Genomic DNA, 7267 nt, shown 5'->3' on the forward strand with positions numbered 1-7267 from the left:
CACTGGAGTCCCTGAAATCCTTGATGGACGCACCAGTTGAAAGCATCCAGGGTTGAAACCAGATCAGGAAGGTTATTCTCAGCTTGGGGCTCCTGCAGAGGGCTTCCTGCAGAGGTGCATCCACGTTGCAGGGATTTCCCTTCCTGCTGAGGAGAAACCTGGGTTTCTCAGCTTTGGCACAGTCACAACATTTGGGGTCAGATCATTCATGGTGGTGGTGGTGGGGGGGGGCTGTCCTGTGTATTGTAAGATGGTTAGCAGCATCTGTGGTCTCCATCCTCTAGGTACCATTCTACCCTCCCAGTTATGGCTACCCCAGATGTCTCCAGACGGTTTCAAATGCCGTGGAGCAAGGGAGTTGTATGTGAGCCAAACCACTCCAGTTGACAGCCATTGGTCTACACTTGTGGAAATGTTTGAGGGTGAGAGTGTCAAGCTTGGGTCCCTGCTGTACTCTTTATCAGCAACGCAGTCTTGGAAAATTAATACAACTCCAGGGGCCTCAGTTTTCTCATCTATAAAATGGAGATAAATGAGATACACTTTCATAGGAAGGTTACATGGGATTTACTGAGATAATAAGACAGTACATTGAAAATGCTGGGCATAGCATTTATTTATCTTTATTTTTTTTTTAAGATGGAGTCTTACTCTGTTGCCCAGCCTGGAGTGCAGTGGCATGATCTCCGCTCACTGCAACCTCCACCTCCTGGGCTCAAGTGATTCTCGTGCCTCAGCCTCCCAAGTAGCTGGGAGTACAGTTGCCCACCACCACACCTGGCTAATTTTTGTATTTTTAGTAGAGATGGAGTTTCACCATGTTGGCCAGGCTGGTCTCAATCTCCTGACCTAAGGTGATCCACCCAGCTCGGCCTCCCAAGGTGCTGAGATCACATGTGTGAGCCACCACCCTGGGCTGGGCATAGCATTGTAACACAGACAAAGCACAAAATACTTGGGCAATATGTTTCTACATTTGGGTTGTCTAGACTCCATCCTCCATCCCCTCATGTACTGGTGTGGTGCAGAGCAGAATATCACCCACCTAGACTGCAGAGTGGATTTGGGTGGCATCTTGGCTTTCTGCACAAGACTTGCCTGTTCCCCACCATGTACCCCTGGTTCTCAGGGTCCAGGATTCCAGGAAGCAGGGATGTGGACAGGCAGGGCAGGTGGCCCACCCAGTTCACTCCCACGCTGGGGACCTGCAGAGCCAGCTCCCTGAGACAGGGTGTTTGGACCAACATCTGGGTTTCTGGATTTCCATTTGAGCACAGCTGGACTACACAGGCTGAAGCTCTCTCTGCCGAGATATAGATATTTCCCTGGTGACGATCTTTCAAGCTGACATGAAGACATGGCCACCTGCTGGAACGTGTTGTGTCTGCTGTGGCGCTCTTGTAATTTGTGGGGTAGGCTCCTGAGGAATGCAGTGTGTAAGTGGGAAATGGTGGGAAGTTCTCGCATCCTCCCCTGGCCAAAAGTGCTGCCTGCACAGGTTGGTGGATGGTCCTTTGAGCAGGAAGAAGACATGAAGCCATTCCTGTTAGCTACGACAGAGAGGGGCAGGGTACACACTGGACATTTCGAGCCCATCCAGAGAAGCAAGTCTTACTATGCTGGGAGTACTTTGGAATGGGGGCTGTGTTGCCCTGGGCTTTAATTATTTCAGGAACATTTAACCACAGGGCTGGCAGGCTGGATCTTGATATGTGTTTCTCAGTTGGAAAGACTTTGGACCATAGGGAGATGTCTTCTCAATTCTTTTAATTTCATTATGGTTGTCATTTTTCTTCTCGTGGCCTCTGGATTGTGACACAGAACTCAAGGGACAGGAGGGAGATGAGTTGGAGGCTGGGACAGGGGTCCCTGCCAGGGATGCTGGTGACTCACATGACGGTACTGATGTGTGGAGTCCGGTGCCTGGTTTGGGGAATGTTCGTGGGATATGTTCCAAAGGACTGGCAGACCTATCAGGTACTGGAGGTGAATGGTCAGGTCTGATCTCAGGGCTGGCAGTGTCAGGCAAGGACAGGAAGTTGACGTTGGACTCATTGGCTGAGGTTGCTTGGGACCCAGGGGGCAATGTGTGCCAGGACAGATGGGTCTGGGGCTAGAAAGGCAGATTTGGGCTGGATACTCGGGCTTGGGAGGCATCCCAGGTAGATAGTGGTTGAGGCTGTGGAAATGACCGCAATTGCCTGGGATGAGCATGGAGACAGACAAGATGGGGGTTTTGCTTTAAGCCTGGGGAGCCCACCTCCCAGGTTCAAGCGATTCTCCTGCCTCAGCCTCCCAAGTAGCTGGGAATGCAGGTGTGCACCACCATGCCTGAGTAACTTTTGTATTTTTAGTAGAGATGAGGTTTAGCCAGGCTGGTCTCAAACTCCTGATTTCAAGTGATCGGCCCACCTTGGCCTCCCAAAGTGCTGGGACTACAGACATGAGCCACCATGCCTGACCATTTTTAAATATTAATTGTTATGAAATATTTTCAAGCACATTTTACTATACATTGGAAAAGTCAATCATGATTTGAAAACTTCATCAAAATCCAATCAAATCTCAATTAACCATTTAATTGTGGATAGGTAAGGAGACTATTTTGACCAAAACATATTAGAACAATTAACACTTATAGATATAATCTATGTTTTAATGTTTTAGTTGAATTAAACCATCTTTTATATTCTGGCCGGGCACAGTGGCTTACAGTTGTAATCCCAGCACTTTGGGAGGCCGAGGCTGGCGGATCACCCAAGATCAGTAGTTCGAGAGCAGCCTGGTCAACATGGCGAAACTGTCTCTACTTAAAATACAGAAATTAGCCAGGCATGATGGCACACACCTGTAATCCCAGCTACTTGGGAAGCTGAGGCAGGAGAATCATTTGAACCTGGGAGACAGAGGTTGCAGTCAGCCGAGATCGCACCACTACACTTCAGCCAGCCTGGGTGACAGAGCGAGACTCTGTTTCAAAAATAAATAAATACAATAGAATTCTGAATTTTATTTTTAATAATTATTTTTGTAAAGAGAATGTCTTGTTTTTTGGAGTTGTTGAATTTATTGAATTGGCAACAATTATGTACAAAAGGGTATACAACATGATGTGATTGAAGTATGTATACATTATGAAATGGCTAAATCAAGGTAAATAACATATCACCTCCCAGACTTATTTTTTTGTGGTGAGAACACTTAAAAAATCTACTCTCTTAGTGATTCCCAAGTGTATGATATGTTGTTATTAACTATAGGTACCATGTTGTCCCACGGATCTCCTGAATTTATTCTTCTCTAAAAATGACATTCTGTGTCCTTTGGCATCTGCCCACTTCCCCACTCTGGCAACCATCATTCTACTCCGCTTCTATGAATTCAACTTTTTTTTTTTCTTTTTCTTTCTTTTTTTTGAGACAGTCTCCTTCTATTGCCCAGGCTGTAGTGCAGGGGTGTGATCTTGGCTCACTGCAGCCTTGACGTCCCAAGTTCAATCAATCCTCCCACCTCAGCCTCCTGAGTATCTGGGAGTACAGGCATGCACTACCATGCTCCAATAATTTTTGTATTTTTTGTAGAGATGGGCTATTGCTATGTTATGCAGGCTGGTCTCGAACTCCTGTGCTCAAGCAATCTGCCGGCCTCAACCTCCAAAGTGCTGGGATTACAGGCATGAGCCACCATGCCTGGCTGAGTTCAACTTTTTTAGATTCCACATGTAAGTGAGATAATGTGGTATTTGTTGTTCTGTGCCTGGCTTATTTCACTTAACATAATATCCTCCAGGCTCATCCATGTTGTCTCAAATGGCAGGATTTCCTTCTTTTTGAAGGCTGAATAGTATTCCATTGTGTATATACACCACATTGTTGCTGGAAGTTTAATGGAGGCCAGTTGGGGGAGGAGGGGGAGAAGATTCACTCTAAGTCTAGATGCTCCAGCACCCACCCAGGATGTGTGCAAGGAAGTGCAGGATGCTCCTGGTCTTGCAAACTGTGGTTTGTGGGACTCCAAAGCCCCTATCCTTCCACGATGCTTTCTGTCCTGTTATCACATTTCCTTGGAGGAGAACCCCGCCTTGGTGGAGAGCCCTGCTCTGGCTTTGTCCCTCGGCATGAGATGGCAAAGGATGGTGCCGCTGGGAGACCCTCACGTCTGCATACTGGGGGCTGTTTGCCTTCTCCATTCCTCCTTCAAGTATCTGAGCAGCTCCTGTGTGCCAGCTGCTGGTCTACAAGACGGATCGGTCCTTGGAGATCACGCTGTAGCAGAGGAGGCAGGCTGTAGCCCACAGGCCAGAACCAGCTCCCTGCCTGTTCATACATATAAAGTTTTATTGGAACACAGCCACACCCATTTCAGTGCATATTGTCTGTGGCTGCTTTCCTGCTACAATGGAGAGTTGAATAGTTGGGACAGAGACCTATGGCCTGCAAAGCTGAACTATTTACCATCTGGCTCTCAAGAAAAAGGAAAAAAAATGCTTATCTTTGTACCCCGACAGTCTTAGATTAAGAGGACTTTGTACCACCCTGACGTCCCAGGCGGCCATGAGTCCAGCCACCCCTGAAATGTACACAAGTCTGGGCTAGGGTTGCAGCAGATGAGTCCCAATTTTGCAGATCTTTGGTATCAGGGGCACAACCCAGGATTTTGAGTGGGGTTTCCTCATCACTGTGGCTGGGCACTGGGCTAGTGTGCTTTCTGATTTTTGTATGGGGAAGAGAAAGGAGGGAGGAAATGGCAACTTGTTGCCCTGTTCTAACGTTTTCCTAGGATGGGTCTCCAGGCAAGGGCTTGGGATCTCACCTTGCACAGCTTACAAAACCCAGTGAGGCCGGCTGTCTTGGCGCTGCCACTCTGAGGGATGGAGTCCCCAAATGACTAGGAAGGGAGATAAAAGAATGGTTTCTGCAAGCACAAGAAGTGGCGTTATTGAAATTAACATTTCCCCCAAGTTTTACAATGTCTAGGCATGCATATTTAAGTGTCTGCCTCAAAAGCTTTTGCTAATAACCAGATGGTGCATTTAATTTCCTTTTTTTGTTCTCTGAGCAACTTGCAGCTTCCTGCACAGCCCTACTTGCAGGCAACTGCACTGAGGTGACAGTCCTCCTGACTGCCAGCACAGATCCCCAGGGCCTCTGAGGGCCCTGTATTCTGGGGTCAGCCTTTCCCCCTTCTATTTGGCCCCAGCTGGAGGGGGGCAGATTACCCACATCCCAGCACAGGGCTCCTGCCTTAGCTTCTCTAGGGAGTCTGGCTCCCTCTGACCCTCTAGACCTCACCAGCTGAGGATCAGAGCCCCAGGGCAGGAGCCAGGGCCAGAGGGCATTGGGGGTGGTTTGAGAGTGCAGCTCTGGAGGGGGGCAGTGCGGACCAAGGAAAAGCTGCTCAGGGGAGACTGCAAAGAGATGGCAGAGTTAGAACAAGAGGGCCAGGCATGGTGGCTCACACCTGTAATCCCAGCACTTCGGGAGGCCGAGGTGGGCGGATCACCTGAGGCCAGGAGTTTGAGACTAGCCTGGCCTACATGGTGAAAACCTGTCTCTCCTAAAAATACAATAATTAGCCAGACATGGTGACACCTATTATACCAGCTACTCGGGAAGCTGAGCCACGAGAATTGCTTGAACCCGGAAGGCGGAGGTTGCAGTGAGCTGAGATTATGCCACTGTACTCCAGCCTGGGCAACAGAGCAAGATTCCATCTCAAAAAAAAAAAAAAAAAAAGGACAAAAGGAGGAGGGCAGAGAAGGGAGCTGTGGGGCAGCAACAAGGACCTTAAAGGCACAGAAGAGGAAGCTTGGATTTCCAATTCCAAAGGACATGAAGACAAAGTCGCACACCTTTATTTAACCTGTTCCAGGTGAGGCTGGGCTTTGTGTATTTTCCTTGTTTTCCTTTTCCTTGTGTTCAGGCTGTTGTAAAAAGAGGTACACAGGGGCTCTGTGTGGTGCCCTGTTCTGGTGGCCTTCAGGAAGCATGGGGTGCCCTGGTTTCCTTGGCTTCGTGTCCCCCTTTCCTCCTGCTACCCCTGACTGTGCACCCGACCTTATCCCTCAGACCATCCTCCTAAAGGGGCCTGGCCAGGGCTAGTGTCCTTGCTAGTCTCTAGGAAGGAAGACTCTGTGGCTTGAAAGCTTGTTGGCTTAAGTTGCAAGGTGTAGGTGCCTGGGAGGGCATGTGCATGGCCCTTTGACTGATCCATTCATGTTTTTCTTTTTTGACTCTGTTCTATGTTGTCCTGATGGAGGGGTAAGCCCCTGCCTTCTGCCTTTCCTGCCTTGGACTCTTGCAATTGGACCAGATGAGAGGGTCCATGTGGTCTGAGAATTCAAGCAATGCAGGCCAGGCATGGTGGCTCACACCTGTTATCTCAGCACTTTTGGAGGCCAAGGCGGGTGGGCCAGGAGTTTGAGACCAGCTTGGCCAAAATAGTGAAACGCTGTCTCTACAAAAAATACAAAAGTTAGCCGGGCTTGATGGTGCGCACCTGTAATCCTAGTTATTTGGGAGGCTGAGGCAAGAGAATCACTGGAACCCAGAAGGAGCAAGTTGCAGTGAGGAGCAGGTTGCAGTGAGGAGGAAGTTGCGGTGAGGAGGAGGTTGCAGTGAGGAGGAGGTTGCAGTGAGCCGAGATTGTGTCCCTGGACTCCAGACTGGGCAATAGAGCGAGTCTATGTTTCCAAATATATATATATATATATATATATATAAAAAACAAAAAACTGAACATCCTCTTGATTTGCTTTTCTTGGTCCTGCTTCTCAGAGGTAACACTGGGAAGGGTTGGGGTATACCTCTCCACACCTTTTTCTTTGATTTCCTTTTATTTTTTATTCTATGTTTTGCAGAATGTGCAGGTTTGTTACATAGATATACATGTGTCATGGTGGTTTGCTGCACCTATCAACCCGTCATCTAGGTTTTAAGCCCTGCATGCATTAGGTATTTGTCCTAACGCTCTCCCTCCCCTTGTCCCCCACCCCCGACGGGCCCCGGTGTGTGATGTTCCCCTCCCTGTGTCCATGTGTTCTCATTGTTTAACTCCCACTTATGAGTGAGAACCCGCAGAGTTTGGTTTTCTGTTCCTGTCCACACCTTTTTCCTCTGTGCACACAAGCACATGTATTTGCATATAAGTGTTTATTGTAACTTTTTTAAAAAGTAAAAATGGAATAATGCCGTATTTATTCTTTGGAAAGCCTGCTTTTCAGGCAGCATGTCTTTGACATTGTCTCACGTTGGAACCTGGGTACCAC

Source organism: Homo sapiens, chromosome 8 (genome assembly GCF_000001405.40).
Source record: "Homo sapiens chromosome 8, GRCh38.p14 Primary Assembly".
In the NCBI taxonomy this organism is placed as follows: domain Eukaryota; kingdom Metazoa; phylum Chordata; class Mammalia; order Primates; family Hominidae; genus Homo; species Homo sapiens.